A 21,861-nucleotide genomic window follows, 5' to 3' on the forward strand; every position below is an offset into this window, starting at 1 on the left:
AAAACTCCATCTCAAAAAAAAAAAAGAGTTATGGAAGGGAAGATAGAGGTATTGATGACTGCCTGATGCAGAGGTGTGGGGAGCGAGGTCATCATTGTGGTGATCATACACAAATTCACATCATGTGCACTAGGAGTGGGAAGTACCTGTCCCTTGCCAAGTCTGTGTGGGCCATAATGTAGTGAGGATCTGGTGCCCACAACGACAAACCATGCCACATGCCACGATTGATTGGTGATGTCTGCCCTGGGCTGGGGCGGGGCAGTTTGCCACTCAGGACTGGGATACTGTTTGGCTTTGAGAGAATCTGCTTCTCTGTTTGCATGTGATTCTGCCATGGTCTACTGCACCAGCAGTACACCTAGAAGCACATGACTCACACTCACAGTTTTCCAGGTAAGTCATAGACAATGTATATGTGCCTTCAGAGTCAAGCAGAAACTTCTAGCAAGGACACTGTGCTGGAAATCAGGAGTTCTGCATTTTAGACCAGAATTCCTCAACAATTGCATGGTGACATTTTAGACACAATAATTCTTTGTCATGGGGTCCGTCCTGTGCACCGGGGGATGTTTCACAGTACCCCTGGCCTCCAGCCATCAGATACCAGTAGCACCCCTGAAGCCGTGATCATCACAGATGCCTACAGACATCACCAGTGTCCCCTGTGGGGTAAAATCACCCCCAGTTGAGAGCCACTAATGCAAGGAACCATTGCATATATTGGGGTCTTTTTTCCAGTTGGGTCTAGTCTAAGTGGTCTTACATCCACCTGCTCCCCACTCCACCAGGCTACAGTCCTATCATGCTTTGACAATCATCCCTCTCCCTTCAAGCTGCTGAAGCCTCATCGTCTTCATCCCTGAGAGTGACGGAGAGCCGTCTGCCTCCAATCACAGGGTCCCACCCCAGGGACCTGTTCCCACACCAGCTCCCGCATGCTTCCAGAGCACACCAACATCAGGGCTTTCTCCTGGCCTTGACCATGTTGCCTGCTTCCTTCTCTCACAGCCGCATGCCGCGAGGCTGCCGTGCAACAGGTCTTTTCCACAGAAACCGCAGTCTAGACGCATGCTCTAGGCCCTGCAAGGAAATGCGGGCGAAGCTGCAAGTGTGGGTATTATTTCCTATTTTGCTTTTGCAAATGCTTTCTAATTAAAGAAGTTCATTTCACTCTGAAAAGTCCTCATTCCTTTTTTAAAATGTGTATGCAAAATGCGCAATTTTATAAGCATAATCCTGTTCATTAAGAAAATCTGGCAAAATCTTACTCCCTTTTGAGGGCTATTTTCTTAACCTTCGTGGTTAATAAGCATCATTTTTCACCATAAATAATTTCATTCCTATGGTACATTCTATAACAAATGGTGAAAATTCTCAAGAGATAACTTGGGTGAGCAATCCGGAAGTCCTCAAGAAGGGGGATGTGGCCTTTCCACTTTAGAACGCAGCTTCTCCAGCCTTGTTTTGTGGATTTTCCCCACCCTCCTCCAGGAAACCACAGAGACCAACCCTCACCATTGCCCTCTCCCTGTGGGCCAACTTCTCAGATGACTCCCGGCCCCAGTGGAGGGAAGTGCAGACCCAGGCAAGGGTCCTCGCCCTCCCCCAACCGCCAGGGGAGAGAGCCCTCCTGATTCGGCTCAATTCCACACACATTCACCAGCCTCCCAGAATGAGGCAGAAGCTGACGTGCAAAGAGAAACGCTGAGCTCCTGCTCTCAGGGGCTCACAGCCTGGAAGAAATTTTGCGTGTATTTGTTTTTGAGCAACTTCTTCCCTGAGAATTGCTCACCTTCAGGGCCCTCCTGGGCTTGAAAGGGGAATTGGCTTCATTCACCTTTGGTAGGGTCCAGAAAGGCTAAGGCAGACAGAGACTCGGCTGAAAGGACCTGGAGAATGAGGAATCATTTCTGAGATTCCTGGAGGAGCTCTTTGCAGACAGAGGATGGAGAAAGAGACAATGGGGCCAGCCCCAGCAAATGGTGGGAGGAGAGAGGTGACCCGGAAGACTCCAGCAGTAGCTGGAGAAGTTTTAGCAACCCAGACATCTACCATTCCTTTTTAGGTTGTTGTGGGGGCCATTCATTCACCGGCCGGTTCTCGGCCCCGGTGGAACCTGCTACCCGCCTGGAGCGCGGGGAAGTGATGGAGCCGAGAGTGTCCAGCAGGGACAGCGCCTTCCGTGCAGGGTAAAAAGCCACTGCGAGCCAGGGACAGCTGGCCTCCAAAACCCCCAAGGACGCGGTGGAGGTACCTTCAGTTAAAAGTGACTACAACTGGGGCTGCTGTGCTGTGAGATCTCAGAAGCCCCAGACAGCTTTGTCCGGACACAGCTGCAGCAGGTAAGTGTCAGGCGAGGATCGGCGGCACGTTCCAAAGCGGGTGGAGGAGAGAAGGCGGTGGGTCCAGGCTGAAGACAGGCACTCCCTGGAGGTCAGCTCATGAGCGGGACCTATGGATCCTGTGGGGTTCAGAGGAGCCCAGAGCTCCCTGTGATTGTGATTACATCAGACTGTGAGCCATGTGTGCGGCGCGTTTCTGGAGAGAGGGCATCTGGTTTCCGTCAGATTCCCAAAGGACATTATTACAGGTTGAATTATGTCCTCCAAAATGCATATGTTGAAGTCTAACCTCCAGCACATCTGAATGTGACCCTCTTTGGAGACTGAGGCTTTCCAGAGCTAATCAAGCTAAGATGAGGTCATCAGGGTGGGCCCTGATCCAACGCGACTGGGGTCCGTGTAAAGGAAGACATTTGGAGACAGACACACATGCAAAGAGAATGTCCCCATGAAGATGAGGACGGCCACCTGCCCACCAGGAGAGGAGCAGCAGCAGACCCCGCCCTCACAGCCTCCGAGGAGCCAGCACGATGTCATGTTCCCTGAAACTCATCTGGCGAAGCCCTCACGCCCAGCACCTCAGGAAGGGATTGTATTTGGAGAAGGATCTTTAAAGAAGTAACTAAGATAAATGAGGCCATCAGGGTAGGCCCTGATCCAATAGGACTGGTATCCTCACACAAAGAGGAGACGAGGACACAGACACACAAGCAAAGAGATAGGGGGCCAAGGGGTCGGCACAAGCACCAGGGTGCCCGCCCAGACCACTGGAGGGGACATCTGGGCACATGACCTCACACCCCCTTTAACCCTCCCTAGCCCCCATGTTGGGGAGAGCAGCGCCAGGAGTAGAGACAAGTGCCCCTCTCACCCCACACTGACCTGGGGTCCGGAGCGCCCTGGGGTCCTGAGACAGGCAGGTGGGAGGCCGAGCCCCTGGGACCATTCTCCCCGCACGCTGCTCACAGCTGCCTTTTTCTGGTCTACAGAGAACAAGCTGAAGCTGGAATCAGCCGCAGGTCACTGTGTGCTGCACCACGACAAGCATGTTCACCTTTGCTCCTCACCGGGGTCCACACAAGCGTCCCGCGAGGACCAACGCTGGGGCCGGCCTTCTGGGTCACAGTGCTGGGCGCACAGCGGAAGTCAGGGCTCGCCTCTCTGTGTGGGCCTTCTTGCCAGCGGAAGCACTCCCCTGGGTTTGACCCTGATGGGTTAGGCACTTAAACTTGCAGCTGTGGCAGAGGAGGTGAGGCCAAGACCAGAACAGCCCCCTCCACCCTGCACAGGCAGCTCCAGGCCTGCTGATGACCACAGACCGTTGGTTGGCCCTGGGAGCGCCGTTCACGCTCCTGCCTCCTCCGAGCAGGACCCAAAGACTCTCACCAAGCACACACCAAACGCACCAGTGCGGCACAGCCTGAAGGAGGGCAGACGGGCCACACGAGGCCCCACCCTTCAGGCTCCACTAAACAGCCATGAAGGAATTAGAAAGCTGTAAACATACAAGAGCAGAGAGAACAAGAGAACGGGGCTGTAGGCGGTAGGTGACGCAAGACTGCCTGAATAGGAGGTGGGACGGAGCGAGCCAAGGCCACCACCCAGCTGTGCTACGAGGGGACCGAGGAGGGACCACTTGGCTCCCCCCAGGGAGGAGAGTCAGACCTGGAGGGCACCAGTGCACAGAAAGGAGCTGGGGTTGGGGCGGGCATGGATGAGGAGCGACATCGGGAATGGGGGATTGGGTGAGAATTCACAGAGAGGGTGGATAACCCAGGGGTCCTCCAAATGCACACAACAGATCATTCTCTACCCCTCCCCAGACCACACACACCAAGAGCAGAAAACAAAAGACACTTCCTAGAGAAAATCTAACAACAGGGGCCTGTGCCTGGGGCACCAGGTGAAGGTGAAGGTGGACTCCATGGGGTTAATTAAACTCCACACACTGGGAACCTGTCCCCTCAGCTTGCTTCCCAAATCCATCACCACCCCTCCACCCTCTGCCACACTCCTGCTAGTAGGCTGCTAACACCAGGCTTAAATCCCAAGCAATAGATCAGAGAGTTTTGCTAGGAATCACTGAACAGCTTCGGAAAAAGCACCTCTAGATACTAAGACTCACCTGTCACACTACCCCATAACCCGACTCTGAGGTCAACCAGTTGGCAAACTCTGCCATGCACAGGGAGCTTCCAATAAATGTTTAGTTCCTCGCTGTTAAATATGAGCAGACAGCCAAGCATGAAATAGAGAACAAAAGGGGAAACAGAATCAGGAGGAAACACATGATAAAACAAACACAGAAAAATTGAAGAAAGATTTATATACAAGAAATGCTCTCAGACTAGGGAACTATTGAATTTGCTTTTTTTTTTTTAAGGAATACAAGAGAATAAGAAAAAGAAAGTTCTTTAAAAATTAAAATGATGATAGATGAAATTCAAAGGACAAATTGGAAAATAAAGTAAAAGAAATCTGCTAGAGATGAAGAATAACAGAGAAAATGTTAAAGATGTAGAGGATTAGCACAGGCTGTCCAACATCTAACTAATAGAAACATCAAAAAAGAGGATGGATGGAAGGAGATGATCAAAGAAACAATACAAGACATTTTTTCTCACCTGAAAAGCCCCACTGAGTACCCATCGGAGTAAATGAGGGAGGATGCACGCCACTGTGTATAAAATTTTAAACAACCAAAATAAATAAATAAAAGATCTTAAAGACTTCCAGAAAGGAAAAGCAGGTCACATGCAAAGAAAAGAAAGAGAGTGGCGTGTGGATTTCAGCAGCACCAGCTTCTCGAAAACCATGGAGCCTCGCTTCAGCTTTTGATTTCTTCAGCCAGCAAAATGATCACGTTGCGTAGAATAAAGCCATTTCCAGGTGTGCAAGGACTAAAAACACAGTGTTTTAGACTGGACTCAAAAAAGAGCATAAACAAAAAACAAATGAATGAACAAAAGACAGAGAGTACAGGACGCAGAAAACCCAGGGTCCCAGAGCAGGGAGAGGATTCCCGGGACCGTGGCAGACTCATTCCCAGGGTGACAGCCACGGAGCGGGCTGAGAGACAGCAGTCCAGGGTAGGCAGAAGGGGTGGGTTGCCCCTCCACACCTGTGGGTGTTTCTCGTTAGGTGGAACGAGAGACTTGGAAAAGAAAGAGACACAGAGACAAAGTACAGAGAAAGAAAAAGGGGACCCAGGGGACCGGTGTTCAGCATACGGAGGATCCACGATCCACGCTGGCCTCTGAGTTCCCTTAGTATCTATTGATCATTATTGGGTGTTTCTCGGAGAGGGGGATGTGGCAGGATCATAGGATAATAGTGGAGAGAAGGTCAGCAGGTGAACACGTGAACAAAGGTCTCTGCATCATGAACAAGGTAAAGAATTAAGTGCTGTGCTTTAGATATGCATACACATAAACATCTCAATGCCTTAAAGAGCAGTATTGCTGCCCGCCTGTCACATCTCCAGCCCTAAGGCGGTTTTCCCCTATCTCAGTAGATGGAATATACAATCGGGTTTTACACGGAGACATTCCATTGCCCAGGGACGAGCAGGAGACAGATGCCTTCCTCTTGTCTCAACTGCAAAGAGGCGTCCCTTCCTCTTTTACTAATCCTCCTCAGCACAGACCCTTTACGAGTGTCGGGCTGAGGCCATATCTCAGGCTATCACATGGGGAGAAACCTTGGACAATACCTGGCTTTCCTAGGCAGAGGACCCTGCGGCCTTCCGCAGTGTTTGTGTCCCTGGGTACTTGAGATTAGGGAGTGGTGATGACTCTTAACGAGCCTGCTGCCTTCAAGCATCTGTTTAACAAAGCACATCTTGCACCGCCCTTAATCCATTTAACCCTGAGTGGACACAGCACATGTTTCAGGGAGCAGGGGGTTGGGGGTGGGGTTACAGATTAACAGCATTTCAAGGCAGAAGAATTTCTCTTAGTACAGAACAAAATGGAGTCTCCTATGTCTACTTCTTTCTACAGAGACACAGTAACAATCTGATCTCTCTTTCTTTTCCCCACAGTAGACAGAAGGGCAGAAGGCCTGAAGGAGAAGGATCCAACGTGAACAACAGCAGAAACTAACGAATCAGTGCTGGGAAGGTAGCAGCAGTGGTCACATAGTTTTTTACAATCTCTTCAAATCGCCAATAAAAACAGTAACTTGATAGCAGAACCAAATCCAAGCAGATAACATCTAAAACCACGCCTGGCGATGAAGTGCATTCGTGTCCCAGGGCTAGTGTAACAAAGTGCCACAAACTTGGCAGCTAAAATGATGGATATTTCTCTCTCACCGTCCTGGAGGCCAGAAGTCCAAAACCAAGGGGTTGGCCTGGCTGGTTCTTCCCAGAGGCTCTGAGAGAGACTATGCACACACACCTCTCCTTTAACTTGGCAACCCTTGACTCTCCTTGCCTTGTAGATGTACCACTCCAATCTCTGCCTCCATCCCTGCGTCTCTGTGCCAAACCCCCCTCTCCCTTCTCTTCTAAGGACACCAGTCATTGATTTAGGGCTGCCCTAAATTCAGGCGACCTCAATTGAATTGCATCTGCAAAGACCCTGTTCCACGTCAGGTCACATTCCCAGGCACTGGCAGTTAGCACTTTGACATTCCCCAAATTCCGATCTTTGCGGCCTCGGCTCAGTGGGACCGAGGACAGTGGGACCATCTTTGGGTCGGTGGGACCCCACCAGGCTCCCTTGGACTTCCGCTTGTGGTGCCACAGGGAAGCTGTAACCGGGCTGAGAGCCAGGGAACTATGGGGCGCACACCTCCTCCTCTTCCTTGGAGTCTTGCACTACCTGTTGTTCACACCTGAAATCAGTTGCCTCATAAATGTTGTCCAATTTTATGGTTGTTTAATGTGGGAGGGTGAGTCCAGGACCGAGGACTCTGTCAGAGCTGGAGACCAAAGCCCACCCAATATCCCTGCAGAAGCTCCTTTTCACCTGAGCTCAGCCAGAACAGGCTTCTATTGCTGGCAGCCAGGAGCCCCGCCTGAGCCGCGTGATAAATAATGTCCTCTAGAACCTCCCTGGAGGCAGGTTCCAGGGCACCTCCTGTGGCCCCTTGGGACCCATGGATCGCACAGAGTGCAATTCAGCAGGGGAAGTTTTCTGTACGGAAGGAAAGATAGAGAGAAAATGTATATATTAGGTTGGTGCAAAAGTAATTGCAGTTTTTGCCACTGAATGTAATGGCCTATCCTCCTACAAGGCCGAGTTTAGGGAGACATTTCAAAGATCCAGAGCAACAGATTCCACCCTACAGAATTCATGGATAGTCACATCCTGGGAAACCATGGAGCTATCGCGAGGGTCCCACGAATCCATGTGATCCTAAGAATTCGCTATAGACTCAATACTGGGCTGTTTCCAGGTATGCACAGAGGCTGCTGCATTTTATAAAATAAAAATCCATTTTAAAACTATAAATAAATGCACGATGGTTTTAGTTTCCTTTATGCTTTATTCTCAATCAACAAATGTTAAAACGTGGCCAGCAATAAGTGGGGCTTTGGGGTCGGGGTACTGAAGGTTTTTGAGATCATGAAGGATGCTTTACCTTCTGCATCAGGAAGTGCTGACCTGGATGCGCAGGTGGGGGGCAGCTCGGCACCCCCCACCTGGAGATGGTTTCTATCCACCTTTAGGGTGCCCTGAGTACCCCTGCTCGCTGAGAAGAATCTGGGATGCAGGTCGTGGGCAGCTTGGCACTCCCCCCACCGAGATGGTTTCCATCCACCTTTAGGGTGCCCTGAGTACTCCCTGCTTGCTGAGAAGAATCTGGGGTGCAGGTCGTGGGCAGCTCAGCACCCCCCACCCGAAGATGGTTTCCATCAGCCTTTAGGGTGCCCTGAGTACCCTCTGCTCACTGAGAAGAACGTGGGGTGCAGGTCGTGGGCAGCTCGGCACTCCCCCCACCCGAGATGGTTTCCATCCACCTTTAGGGTGCCCTGAGTACCCCCTGTTTGCTGAGAAGAATCTGGGGTGCAGGTTTCTGTGCTGTTCATGAAAACAGGAGTCTATGCCTTTATTAGCAGTGGCACTGAGGGAGGCGGCCGATATCCCCTCACGAAAACTAAAGAACTCATCCGGAACGTCTTGCTGCGGAGAAGCCATCCCACCTCTCCTTACAGGCACCCACCAGTAATAAGCCCCCTCTGGAAAATCCTGGCTGTGAATTCCACTTGATGTGTCATGCCTGTGTCTAGTGCGCGTACCATCAAAAAACGTCGGCACATCCAACTCTTGGCAGCTGAAAGCTTACACAATGCAAGAAAAGGAAGGCCTTTCCTGTGAACTCGCGTGAGGATTTGCCTACCTATCGTGGCTGTGTTTGACTCCTGCACACCTAGAGAGCTACGCTGGGGCGGGGGTGAGGCGCTGACAGACCCACTTTGCAAAAGCCGCCCCCACCAAGTGGCTGGATGCTGAAAGGACAGGCGGAAGGAGGGTGAAAGGACGGGCAGAAGGAGGGTCTTCTCTCTAGAGATAGGGCACTGGAATCTCAGAGACAGTCTCTTCACTTATTTACACCTCAGTTTAAAAAAGACGGGGAAAGAAAAGACCAGACCATGGATAGAGAAGGGAAGAAGGAAAGAGGGAGATCGAGGGGAAAGGCAGAGACAGCAGAGGCAAGACAAGGGGAAGCCTGGGGGTGAGTGAATGCTGGAGAGGGAGGGCTGGAGAGAGCAGCGCAGCCTCAGGGAGAGCAGGCCCGCCACCCCTCTCCGCTCCACTTCCACTTGCAAAGAGACCCGGGAGGCCTCAGGGCAGCAGCCACTAGACCCAGGTCTGCCAAGCCCTGTCCACCTCAGAGGGTCTCGGGAATTCTATGATTGTCCAGACAAGGCCTGTCCCAGCAGAGACCCTGGCCAGACCGAGGAGGGGCCCGGAGGGCAGGAACCCCGAAAGGGCCCCACAGCCCCACTCGCCAGCATCCCTCACCCGCCCCTGGGGTCAGCCCTGCAGCAGCCTCGGGGCTCAGCTGTGAAGCAGGGGTCCCACAGTTCCTGCAGGGGAGCTCTCAGGATTCGTTATTTGCATTTTATTTACACGTACGTGTCTTCTTCAGGTGGCCTCACAGTGTATGACTTACGCCTTTTCCTGCTCTTGAAAAATGGGTTTAAAATGGGTTTACATGTATTATTCTCAACATATCAACTCCCAGAAAGATCTGGTCTGCTCAGTGTGGAAGGAAAGGCAAGGGCAGCTTCACCAGACTCCTGATAAGACCCTCAATCATCTGCTTCCAACTCAGCTATTCAGTTACACACATGGATTCTTCTCCAAATCGCTAGCATGGCTCCAACAGGAATGTGGCTGCATGGTGCCAAGGTCTCATTCCTCCCGAGCCAGCACCACCAGCGTTTAGGGCCATGGCGCCCGGCTCCACGCTGCTCCTCCATCCTCTCAGAGACCCTGTCGCAGTCCCACTGCCCTCGCCTTCTCCAGGCAGGCACTGGCACAGGACTGTCCACCACCCAACAATGGCCTCACCTACCCGGGATGGCCTTACCTGCCTGCGATGGCCTCACCTGCCCACGACAGCCTCACCTGCCCATGAAGGCCTGGCATCCTGACGGGGCCCTGCGCATCATCCTCGCACTGAGAGGTGTTGCCAGGACACATCCCCTCCATTTGCTGGATAATTCGGCCCCTCAGGCCTGCACAGCTGCGGGGGCTGCCCCTATCTGTCCAGCCAGGCCCTGCCCATGCTCCAGGCCATCTCAAGGCCCTGGATACACTGGTTGTCCCCTCCCACCTCGTGGCATTCTTGGGTCCCAGGTGGACAGAAGAGTGCAGCCTTGCTACACAGACGCTAAGAGACACACAGTCTCCTCGTACCCCAGGAACCCCATGGTCCCACACTCTCCATCCCACAGCCAGACATCATATCAAAGCCTCCAGAGCGTGGGGCCATGTGCTGCCCTTTCCCCTGCCTGAACACTCACCCTTACATACCCTCAGTCAAACCCACTTTCCTCTCAAGGCAGCCCGAGCCCCCAGGTACTGAGCCCTGCCCTCCCGGGCCAGGCAGCGCCAGGCTCTTCCAGGCACTCACCCCATAGCAAGACCCCAGTGGGCCCCAGGGCTCACCTGCCACATCTCTCAGACCGTGACCAGAACCTGCTTCATGGACCTCTACCTCCTGTGCCCAAAACCTTCCTGGAAGACAAAAGAAGTGCCACATGAACCCTGAGTATATCCGAGAGCTGATGGGAGGGCGCTGTGGACCCCGGGCTGACTGCACAGGACACACGAGCAGTCCCGGCACCGCACTTTCAGAACAGGCACCCCGCACCAAAACCAGGAGAAGCAACAAGGCCAGAAACGCATACTGTAGGGTCAGGAGAATCCAAAATACAGGCCAGGCTTTAACATGACGTCCAGCATGAACCATCCAGGCCTGTGTGTTCGGGAAAAGGTGGAAAGAAAAGCGCCGCTGGGAAGGGAACCAGCAGTACCTGAGTGACAGAGCAAAAGCTCCTGCAGGTTCCTGCTCAGTTCAGAGGTCTGCCCTCTCCACCTACCTGAGGCAATGCGTTCAAGATCAGAAAAATCACACCAACGAAGTTACTCCATTTGGAAGCTTTTTCTGACCAACCTCACCTTACTCTGACCACAACTTACTCCATATCCAATCAGGTGTGTGTGATTGGATGTCATGTTGTGTGCACGTGTGTACATATTCTGTGTGTGCATTTGTGTATGCGTGTTTGCATGTGTGTACATATTGTGTCTGTATGTGCATGTGTGCATGCATGTCACGTTGTGCACATGTGTGTACATATTGTGTGCTTGTGTATGCATTTGTGTGTATGCACGCCATGTTGTGCGCATGTCTGTACATATTGTGTGCATGTGTGTATGTTATGTTGTGTGCCTGTGTGTGCATATTGTGTGCATGTGTGCATGCATGTCATGTGGGCATGTGTGTACATATTGTGTGCGTGTGTTTGCATTTGTGTGTATGCACATCATGTGTGCATGTCTGTATATATTGTGTGCATGTGTGTATATATTGTGTGTGCATGTGTGTATGCACATCATGTTGTGTGCATGTGTGTACATATTGTGTGCGCGTGTATCTCATGTGTGCATGTGTGTACCTATGTGTGCATGTTTGTGCATGTGTGTATGCATGTCATGTGTGCATGTATTACATATTGTGTGTCATGTTGTGTTCATGTGTTACATATTGTGTGCATGTGTGTGCATGTGTGTGCATGTCATGTTGTGTGCATGTGTGTACATATTATGTGCATGTGTGCCTGTGTTCATGTCATGTGTGCATGTGTGTACATATTGTGTGCCTGTGTGTGCATGTCATGTGTGCATGTGTGTACATATTGTGTGTGCGTGCGTGCATGCCATGTTGTGTGCATGTGTGTACATATTGTGTGCATGTGTGTGCATGTGTGTGTGCATGCCATGTTGTGTGCATGTGTGTGCATATTGTGTGCATGTGTGTATGCATGTCATGTTATGTGCATGTGTGTGCATATTGTGTGCATGTGTGTGCAGGTGCGTATGTGTCTTTGCATTTGTTTGTGTAAGTGTTCTCTCGCTCACTCACTCAACAGTGGACTTTGCATTGGCACTTCTTGGTGCTTAAAGCCACATGGACCCATTTCTTAGCAGAAACTCAAAGAATCAGGTGTGAGCCATCTGGGAGCAGCTCTTCCTAACTAACCCACATGCTCTCAAATACTAGTTGGTTTTAATCATATATAAATGCAAGCTCTGCACAGCTGAGATTCTGACTCACTTGTTTGGACACAAGGCCAAAAAAAATTGGAATTTTAACAAGCACTTGCCCCTCGGCTGTCCCTGGGCCACCTCAGCAGAAGCTGAGCTCACATATTCTCAGGGATTCATTCATGTCACAAGTCCTTTTCTACAACTCTTGCCAGCATGGAAAGCCACATGTGGCCCCTGCGTTCAAGGATCCAGAGCCCAGTGCGGAGCCAGGCAGTAAAGGAACAAGGCCCTGTGATGGAGCAAAACCTGGGAGCAGACAAGACCCTGCCCCAGCTGCCATGACGCAGGGTGATGCTCCAGGTCGCCCAGGACAGATGTCTGTGCAAAGACGGCCTGGAAGATAAGCGAGTCTGGAGGCTGCCAAACAGCCTCCACAGCCTGATGGGTGGAGTGGAAGTGGACATGGCTCAGAGGTTTCAACTGCACTTGATTTTGCCCTCTGGGGGTGGGGGAAATATACCACTGTTAAAAAAAAAAAAAAACAAAAAGCAAAAAAACAGAACAAACAAAAAAACAGACTGGTTGTGGTGGCTCAGGCCTGTAATCCCAACACTTTGGGAGGCCGAGGCGGGTAGATCACCTGAGGTCAGGAGTTCAAGATCAGCCTGGCCAACATGGTGAAACCCCATCTCTACTAAAAACACAAAAAATTAGCCGGGCGTGGTGGCAGGCACCTGTAATCCCAGCCAATGGGGAGGCTGAGGCAGGAGAATCACTTAAACCTGGGAGGTGGAGGTTGCAGTGAGCCAAGATCATGCCACTGCACTCCAACCTGGGCAACGGAGTGAGATTCCACCTCAAAAACAAACAACCAACCAAAAAAAAAAACCAGCTTCAATTCCTTGAATTACTAAGGTGGTAGGCAGCACCAAGAGGCTGAGGCTGAAGACACCTGTGCGGTTATTTACAAAGAACATAGAGGGCCTGAGACCAACTCATACTCACTCAGCCGCCCTCCTCACGTCACCATGTGTCCTAGGAGCCAGTGGGGACATTCAGTGCACGCCCTGGGACCCGCTCATTTTGCCGATAAGGATACTGACTCTCAGTGAGGATTTGAACCTCCAGGGTGCCCAGCCAGTCACTAGAGGAGACAGTTAATAACCACTGAATCCTTAGGAGATCCACGGGGCTGCTGCTATTCAGTCTGCTTCCTGCTGTGCAAAGGACAGACATTTACAGCAGGCAATTCTGCTTGGACTGGAACACCCCTGACGCCTCCCTCCATGGGCACCCTCCTTGCCCTCCTCTGAGCTCCTGGACTCCCTCCAGCCCCACTCTGCATGGACACCCACCTTGCTCAATGCCATGTAATGTCTTTAGGACTAAATTTTGCAAGAAGTGGCCAGGAGAGGGAAAAGATGGCAGATGCTGACTGGACAACCCCACTTCCAGAATGCTAACGCCAAGGTTTACAACCCAGGCCGAAGTCTGGAGAATTTTTTTCTGAGGAAATTGACTAGCCCAAGGAAAAAGACCTGCAGATTCTGTCAGTTGGGAATTTCACACTGCAACCATTGGCTCCCCTTCCCAGTATCCTAGAACAAAGCTCACAACGCAGCAAGCCCCACCCGTGCACACAAAGCCTGTAGTAGGTGCTAACGCTCACAAACGTGGGCGAACTTGCCCATTATCACCAGGCACATGGGGGAAATCTCCAACACAGAGACAAACCCAGCACACGCAAACAAAACAGCAACTCAGAAAGAAACAACGGGAGCATAAGAACATTTTAAAAAGGAACGATAGTTGATTTGCTCAGAAATTAAAGAACAGAACATGGAGCAGTATGCTATGAATAAAAGAACATTCCAAAAAAGGAAAAAAAAAACCTCGAGAATTCAAAGTAGAAAAATAAACTCTAAAAATAAAATAATAAGTTTAGACTATAAAGCAGAACAAAACAAAAAGCAAGAAATGAGACTGAGAACATAAGAAAATCAGAGTCTCCATCCAGGAGATTCAATACCCACAAAGCAGAAGCCCCAGGAAGAGAGAAAAGTGAAAACGGAGAGAAGGAAATTACCAAAGAAACGATGGAAGCCATGATCGCCCCGGGAAGGATGTTGATTCCAGATGGATAGCACCCACCAGGGCCCACAGGAGGAGACAGCCCCTCCAAACCCATCGTGTGAAGGTTCAGAGCTTCAGCTGGGAAGGGGCCAGGATGGGGTGATGGGCGCCTCAGCATGGTTTTGCCTGGTGTGAACCCCCAGCTCCTCCACTCAGACCACGGGGAGCTTGACTAGTTACACGTCTGCTCTGTGTCCCAGGTGCGTGCGTGTTTTCTTAATCAGAAAAGTGGAAATGATCATATTATTACTTTGTAGAGTTACTCTGAATATTAAATTAATACATTTAAAGACTTAGAGCGTATCTGACACATAAGTATGCATTTAATATGTTTTGTATTATTACCATAAAAAGCATACAGAAAAAATAAAGGTTCTGCACAAAAGAACAGATGTGATGGATGTCTCAAAAGTGATGTTAGAAATTGGAAGATAACAAAACAATCCCTCAAAATTCCAGAAGGAAAATGAAGCCCTATCTAGAGTTGTATATCTACAGACTAAGTTTTATTCAAGTTTTAAACAGCAAAAACTCAAAACCTTTACCTCCCGTGCACCCTAATTCATGAAGCCCCTGGAAATGCGGCCACCAGAAGTAGGGACTAAGCAAGAGAACAGTGGTTGTGGGACGCAAGAAAAGGCCAGCAGAGGAAAGAGACCCCCAGGGGGAGGTGAGACCAGCCCAGGACAGCTGCGTGGCGACCACAGGAGGAGGGCACAGCCCCTGGGAGATGTGCACTGTGAAGAAAGAGAAGCTGGAGGACCAGCTGTGGTGCTTGTGTCACAGGAGACTTTGGGGGCATTTATAGACAACTAATGAATAAATAAAAATGAGTGATTCTAGGAAAGGAAAGTACTGTCTGAGAAAGGAAGTGTAAATATGGCACACTACAGGGCTTACCCGTGGAAAAAAATGACTTACAATGCTCATATTGGACCCCAACATCCTGACCCCCCTGTGAGTGGGGGCCCAGACTCTGAAGCCAGACTGCCTCCGTCCATCTCCATCTGCCACTCACTAGCAGGGCTTTTGTTACCGTCCCTGTGCCTCAGTTTCTCCATCTGTAACCCAGGATAATAATGGTACTTTCCTTATGGGTTTGATGAGAGGATTCCATTAATTAATATATGCAGAGCATTTAGAACAGGATGATTTAGGACGCTGCGTAAATGTTCACTGCTTCTATTTTTACTTTGATTTTTTAAAAGATAGTAGCTCTCCTGGAGGAACCTCAGGCTAACACAAACAACAGCGAAATCTTAGAAGAGTCACGGAAAGATGCAGCAGCTGCTCTCCAAGCACAGGGACGGGACACGGAAAACGGCACAAAGGCGTGTCTGTCACTGAGGCAGCAACTGGAACGTGGGACAGGAACCACCAGGCAGAGTGGGGGAGCTCAGGGGTCGGGAACTCAGGGGCCAGGTCATTGAGAGGAAGACTCCGGGGCCAGCAGGAAGACTGCTGTGGGCTGTGCATGCAGAGGGAATCACAGAGGCCAGGCTGGACACTGCTGAAGAGGAGGGAAGGGCCCCCAGGACCCCTAGTTTTCTTCTGCCAGGGAAGCACAGGGTCCTTGATCCCTCTGTGGCCCTGGCAGCTGCAAGTTTTACCCACAGGCGTGAACCCAAGCTGGGACTATTTGATTCCCAGGCACTGCGAAAGCTGTGTAGGTGGCTGCTCCGAACACTGCGAAATCAACCGTGTTGTGAAACACCTAGGAACTAGCCCCAGCCCCGGACCAGAGTCCTCAAACCCCCCGTAACCTCCTCAGCCCAACGCCCTCACGGCAGGCGTAACTGGGCAGAGCGTCTGGTCTCACTGTGCCTCGCAAGGACACTAGGACCCTCTGAGCACAAGTTTCAATAAACCTTGCTGAACTTTCCTGCTGCCGCTTTTGGGGTGACTCCAGCGGCGGGAGAGCCAGCAAAGGAGACTGGGCAGGGCAGGTGTAGTCTGTTCTCATGCTGCTATAAGGACATACCTAGACTGGGTAATTTATAAAGGAAAGAGGTTTAATGGGCTCACAGTCCCACATGGCTGGGGAGGCCTCACAATCATGGCGGAAGGCAAAGGAGAAGCAAAGGCACCTCTTATACGGTGGCAGGCAAGAGAGTGTGTGCAGGGGAACTGCCCTTTATAAAACCATCAGATCTTACGAGACTTATTCACTGTTACAAGAACAGCACGGGAAAGACCCGCCCCCATGATTCAATTACCTCCCACCAGGTTCCTTCCATAACACATGAGGATTATGGGAGCTACAATTCAAGATGAGATTTGGATGGGGACACAGCCAAACCGTATCAGCAGGGGGTGTGGGAGGAGAGAAGTGAAACAGAGCAATGGGAGATGGTGTCACAGAGCCAAGAGGAGAGGACCTGGAAGAAGGGAGGAAAGAATTAGTGGCCCCTCAGGGAAAAGGAAACAGGGACCCAGGAAAATAAGGGCTGAAGTCTGCCCGCTGTGTTCAGCTTGAAGACCTGGTGGCATACAGTCTCACTGGGTACACTCCTTCCTGACACCCTCTCCAAGGAGCAGCCCACAGGGGCCTTCGCTACACCAGTTCTCTTCACTCCTCGGCACACAGGAGCCTCTAGGCCTTAGCCCTTCAGGCCTGGCTCCCTCCCAGATCTCCAGAGCTGTAACTGTGCCCTCTTCCGTCCTGCCTGCAGGACCAGACTCGAGTCCCTCTTTGTGCCTGTGCCGTGTGCATCCAGCACCATCCACCCAGGAGCACTTGTCACCTCCGATTGCACTGATGGTTCTGGTACCTGCCTCTCTTACCTACCATCAGCTCCACATGGACAAGGACCATCTAACCATGTTAAATAACAAGTCCTAAACTTCTGGAACAGATCTTGGCACATATAAATATCATTGAATGTTTCTATAAGTGTTCAATAAATATTGAATGAGTGAGTGAATGGGTGAGAGTGTGGGTAAGTCAACAATTGTTAAACAGAGAGCAACAGTAGCCACCCAGGAGCAGCATCCTAAGGAGCTACTGAATCACAACCACTTTTATTTATTCACTTAACGTTCCGTAAGGGCAACTATGTGGCAGGCAGCAGGAGTACAAATATGAACGAGACACAGCCCCCAAGCCCTGGAGAAGCTTGCAGACCAGTGACTTCAGCAGGCCCTCACATAGTGGCATTCATTTCTGTAACATTTAGACAACCCGTGGTGCACTGGGCAGAGTCAGGGGTCTCACATCAACTTGGGCAGAATAGCAAGACAAGTGCCACGCGGAGAAGTCATAGGATCCCAGCAACATAGTTTTCCCCGAAAGCAACATAGGCAAGGCCTGGCCACGCCCACAACTCTAGCGCAAGTGTGGTCCCTGATCCGACGTACCACGGGTGGAACCTGCTCTGCGGTGGGGGCGTGAAGGCTCCCAGCTGGGGGAGCCGGCCCTCATCAGCCTTCGTTGATAAGCCCTGAAGAATGTGTGTGTTCCTCATTTTTACCTCATTACTGTGCAGTCCTACGACTGCAAAGCTGTTGATATAAACATGAACTATTTCTCCTTCACTTATAATAACCTCATTCTAGTTTCTTCTTCCTGAAGCAGTTATAGTGTAATGATGTCATGTATTTAAGCCTGATAAACATAATTACTATCAACATTTAATTGATTCTTGATTACAATCAATTATATTTCTGAAACAATCAAGCATCCTACAATTAAAAATAATTGATTCATTAGTACACCCCCTTGACAATTACACAAATGCATTATTTATGTAATTAGACACATTTACAGTTCATTATTCCACATTTTATGCTATTGTTATAAAGCTACTAAACTCTCCAGCTTACTTCTTAATCTTCCTGAGATAGAACATACTGAGATAGAACACTAAGTTTATTCAAATGGATCTAGCTAAAAATTGGAAGTTACCTAAGGCAGTACAATTAAGTTATAAATCAAAAGCCTGAATTGCATGCCAATTTGAAAACAATAATTAACTAATTTACCTGCCATATATCCAGGGGAAGCTGTGAGGGCCCATGATAGTGTGGATCTGGGTACACATGTTACCAGGTAAGCAGAACAACCACTTATTCTCTAGGCAGAATCTTCATAATGTGGAGTTGGGTAAAGGATATTAAAGAGACAATGTTAGCCATCATGTGGAGTTGGGTAAACGGTACTAAAGAGACAACGTTAGCCATTAGAGGTGACAGGCTCTGATCCAGGCCAGGGTAGAACCTGCGTTTGGGTCCTCTCCACCCCAACCTGCAGGGCCCTCTAACGACTTCCCTCCCCCAAGAGGAAGGTGTCATTCTGATGAGTGAGCAGCCACCAGCCCTGAAGTCCGAGCAAGCTCCCTGTTCCCATCAAAGTCCAGGCAATTCCCTGTTGTCCAAATGCCTGTTTCCCTCTGTCTCTGCCAATAACCCTTCCCCACTGAGTTCTCCTTTCAAAATAGCAGAATTAGCAGATGGATTTTCCTTGTTTTCTTTCTAAATTTTATGGCATGACAATAAGAATTCACCAAAGTACATTAATCCACACAGAGCAAAGCAGCGAGCATGGGAGCCTTAAGCAGACCAGATAGTCAGGTGGCTTTCCAGAAGACGGAACGTAGGCGGGATCACAGGACAGGCAGGCTGTGGCAGATGATCACTGGCTGCAGGAACCACAGCTGAGCAGTGAGGGTGGCAGCCCCTCTTCCTGCCAGGGCACAGGGCTCCAGCAAGCAGGTTGAGCTGTGGGACCATGAGGCTGAAATCTGGCTGGTTAATTGAAGGAATGTCTCTGCAATCCCAAAACCACTCCTTCCCACCTGCAGTCACTCGCAGCAGTAGGGCCGCCCCCAGGATCAAGCCAAAGAGCTACAGAAATAAAACCAAGCACGCAGGAAGACAGGAATCTCCCACCAGGGGGTTAGCACCCAGAGACAGAGGCAGAAGATCTGAAAAACTTAAAAACAAAAGATTATGTTGCTGAAGATTTAATTGATTTTCTAGAAGACAGAGCTCAGGAAAAATTCAAAACATAAGAAAAAGAAAAAGATAACATATGAGGAAAAATTCAAGACAATGAATCAATCCAGAGTATTTTGCAATAAGAGTTGCATAAAAGAGAAAACCAAGACAGGAGCTGATGAAATATTTCTTTAAGTAATGAGATAAAATTTTCAGGAGTTGGAAAAAAAGCATGAAACATGAGATTGAGAGAGTCTCCAAAGTGCCTGAAAGGATGAAAAGAGGAGCATCTATTCTTAACATGCTCTTGTGGTGAAATTTCAAGATTTCAAGAATAACACTTTCTTTGCCTTTTTTTTTTTTTTTTTGAGATGGTATCTTGCTCTGTTGCCCAGGGTGGAGTGGAGTGGCGCGATCTCGGCTCACTGCAACCTCTGCCTCATGGGTTCAAGCAATTGTCCCACTTCAGCCTCCTGAGTAGCTGGGACTACAGGCATGCACCACCACGCCCAGCTAATTTTTGTATTTTTAGTAGAGACAAGGTTTCACCATGTCAGCCAGGCTGGTCTCGAACTCCTGGCCTCAAGCGATCCGCCCGCCTCAGCTTCCCAAAGTGCTGGGATTACAGGCGTGAGCCTCTGCACCTGGCCAACACTTTCATGAATAAATGATTACACAACCATAAATGAAATGCTAGATAACTGTAAAATAAATAAAAATATTAATATATACAGATCTTCAAGGTATATTAAATTTAAGAAGCCATATGCAGCACAGTGGGATGGTGCATCTGTCAATTAACAATAGGTGAAGATCTGTGTGTGAGCATGTGGGTGGCATATTTGCCATAGACACATAAACACCCTCTGGAAATATACATTAAATAATTAATGATCACGGTTCCTAGGCATGGGATAAGACGGCGCTGAGAAGATGGAGATAAAGACTGAAGGAGACTGCATACTTTTTAGCATATTTTTATTCTTAATTTTTGAACCATTTGGAAATGATTTTCTATTAAAAATTATGTTTAAAAAAAGTTGCAACAATGAAGGTCCATTTCTCCTCCCCATGCAGGTTACCTGGGATCTCCACTCAGTGTCACTTTCATCCTCACTCTGGGACCCAAGCCACTATCTACAGCATGGGCAGATGAATGACAAGGGACAAACAGAGCATGGTGAAGCTCAGGTCGGCTTTTACAGTGTCCACCCAGAAATGACACCTATTAGTTCTGTTCAAACTTTCTTGACCAATTCACAGGGACAAGACTGACTTTAGGGGCAGGGAGATATAATCCTCTCCCAGAAAGGACACTGGAAATGGATGTGTAGTAATACAGCTTACTGCAATGAGTTAACTAACGCAAATACCTGCAAACTTTATGGCCATATAAGAGAAAGAGAAGAAATGAGCACACAGCATTTCTGTAGAAAATACAAGTAATTTTCAGGCAGCATCTGTTTCAAACTCAACAAAACTCAAGAAAATGTGGATGTTATTTTTTTAAGACTTAGTAATAAAATTCTTTTTGGGTATGTTTAAAATTCCAAAATAAAATGTTTACCCAGCAAACATTTTTTAATGTGGAAAAACGAAGGAAAAATAAAGATATTACCAGGTAAAGAAAAATGGAGGTAATTCATTGCTATCAGACATTCCTTACTTGAATTAAGTAGAGGAAGTCCTTCAGGCTGATGTAAAAGGATACCAGACAGTAAATGAAATCGCATGAAGAAATAAAAAAATAGTAAAGATAACCACTTTGGTAAAAATTTAAAAGAATGAGTATTTTTCTGTTTGTAACTTTAATCTAGTATGAATGACTACTGAATAAAGTAATAATTATAAAACTATGTTTACAGGCTTATATTTATAAGCATGTAATTTGTATGAAATAATAGCACAATGAAAGGGAGATGGAACGGGGCTATGTAGGAACAAAGGTTTTATTTAGTATTGAAATTAATTGGTATTAATATTAATTAGATAATTATAAGTTAAGATGTTAATTTTAATTACCATATCAACCAATAAGATGACAACTTGAAAAAAATGTAGTAAAAGAAACAAGGGTATTTAAATGGTAACTACAAAATATCCACTTAACACAAAAGAAGGCAATAATGGATGAATAGGTAAACAAAAGAGACATAAGATACAGAAAATAGCTAAGTGGCAGCTGTAAATCCTAGCTTATGAATAACTACATTAAATGTAAATGGATGAAACAAATGAATTCAAAGGCAAAGATTGACAGAATGAATTTAAAAACATGATCAAACTATACGCTGTCTACAAGAGACACTTTAGATTTAAAGACACAAATAGGTTGAAAGTAAAAAGATTTAAAAAAAAAAAGTTCAGTTGTCCCTTGGTATATGTAGGGAATTGGTTCCAGGACCCCACATGTGCCAAAATCTGTGCATACTCAAGTCCAGCGGTTGACCTGGCAGAATCTGCTTATTCAAAAAGTCAGCCCTCCATATACATCAGTTTTGCATTCTGTAAATATTGTATTTTTTATCTGAAATCTTGAAAAAGAACAAAGTTTGAGGACTCACTCTTCCCAATTTCAAAACTTAATTCAAAGCTATAGTAATCAATACAGTGAGGTACTGACCTACGTGTAGACATACAGTTCGATGGAATAGAATTAAGAATCCAGAAATAAATCCTTACACCTATGGTCAGTTGATATTCAACAATGGCACCAA

The 21,861-nt window shown here is 48.5% G+C and overlaps 1 long non-coding RNA gene across 1 annotated transcript in view, besides 4 other annotated features; it reads right to left on the reverse strand.

The window, feature by feature from the left end:
- LINC01250 (long intergenic non-protein coding RNA 1250) overlaps nt 1-21,861 on the reverse strand; it is a 230,979-nt gene that overhangs the window by 203,990 nt on the left and 5,128 nt on the right. The gene's annotated exons all lie outside the window — the stretch shown is intronic.
- Nucleotides 2,921-3,705: an enhancer, noted in NCBI's record as "H3K27ac-H3K4me1 hESC enhancer chr2:3105730-3106514 (GRCh37/hg19 assembly coordinates)". NCBI's record gives its function as "activates a minimal SCP1, AML or CMV promoter by ChIP-STARR-seq in naive H9 embryonic stem cells {active_cell/tissue: H9 hESC(naive)}" and the evidence as "EXISTENCE:reporter gene assay evidence [ECO:0000049][PMID:30033119]".
- Nucleotides 5,483-6,190: an enhancer, noted in NCBI's record as "NANOG-H3K27ac hESC enhancer chr2:3108292-3108999 (GRCh37/hg19 assembly coordinates)". NCBI's record gives its function as "activates a minimal SCP1, AML or CMV promoter by ChIP-STARR-seq in naive H9 embryonic stem cells {active_cell/tissue: H9 hESC(naive)}" and the evidence as "EXISTENCE:reporter gene assay evidence [ECO:0000049][PMID:30033119]".
- Nucleotides 9,658-10,331: an enhancer, noted in NCBI's record as "H3K4me1 hESC enhancer chr2:3112467-3113140 (GRCh37/hg19 assembly coordinates)". NCBI's record gives its function as "activates a minimal SCP1, AML or CMV promoter by ChIP-STARR-seq in primed H9 embryonic stem cells {active_cell/tissue: H9 hESC(primed)}" and the evidence as "EXISTENCE:reporter gene assay evidence [ECO:0000049][PMID:30033119]".
- Nucleotides 15,366-15,867: an enhancer, noted in NCBI's record as "H3K4me1 hESC enhancer chr2:3118175-3118676 (GRCh37/hg19 assembly coordinates)". NCBI's record gives its function as "activates a minimal SCP1, AML or CMV promoter by ChIP-STARR-seq in primed H9 embryonic stem cells {active_cell/tissue: H9 hESC(primed)}" and the evidence as "EXISTENCE:reporter gene assay evidence [ECO:0000049][PMID:30033119]".

The sequence above is a fragment of the Homo sapiens genome, chromosome 2 (assembly GCF_000001405.40).
Source record: "Homo sapiens chromosome 2, GRCh38.p14 Primary Assembly".
NCBI lineage: Eukaryota > Metazoa > Chordata > Mammalia > Primates > Hominidae > Homo > Homo sapiens.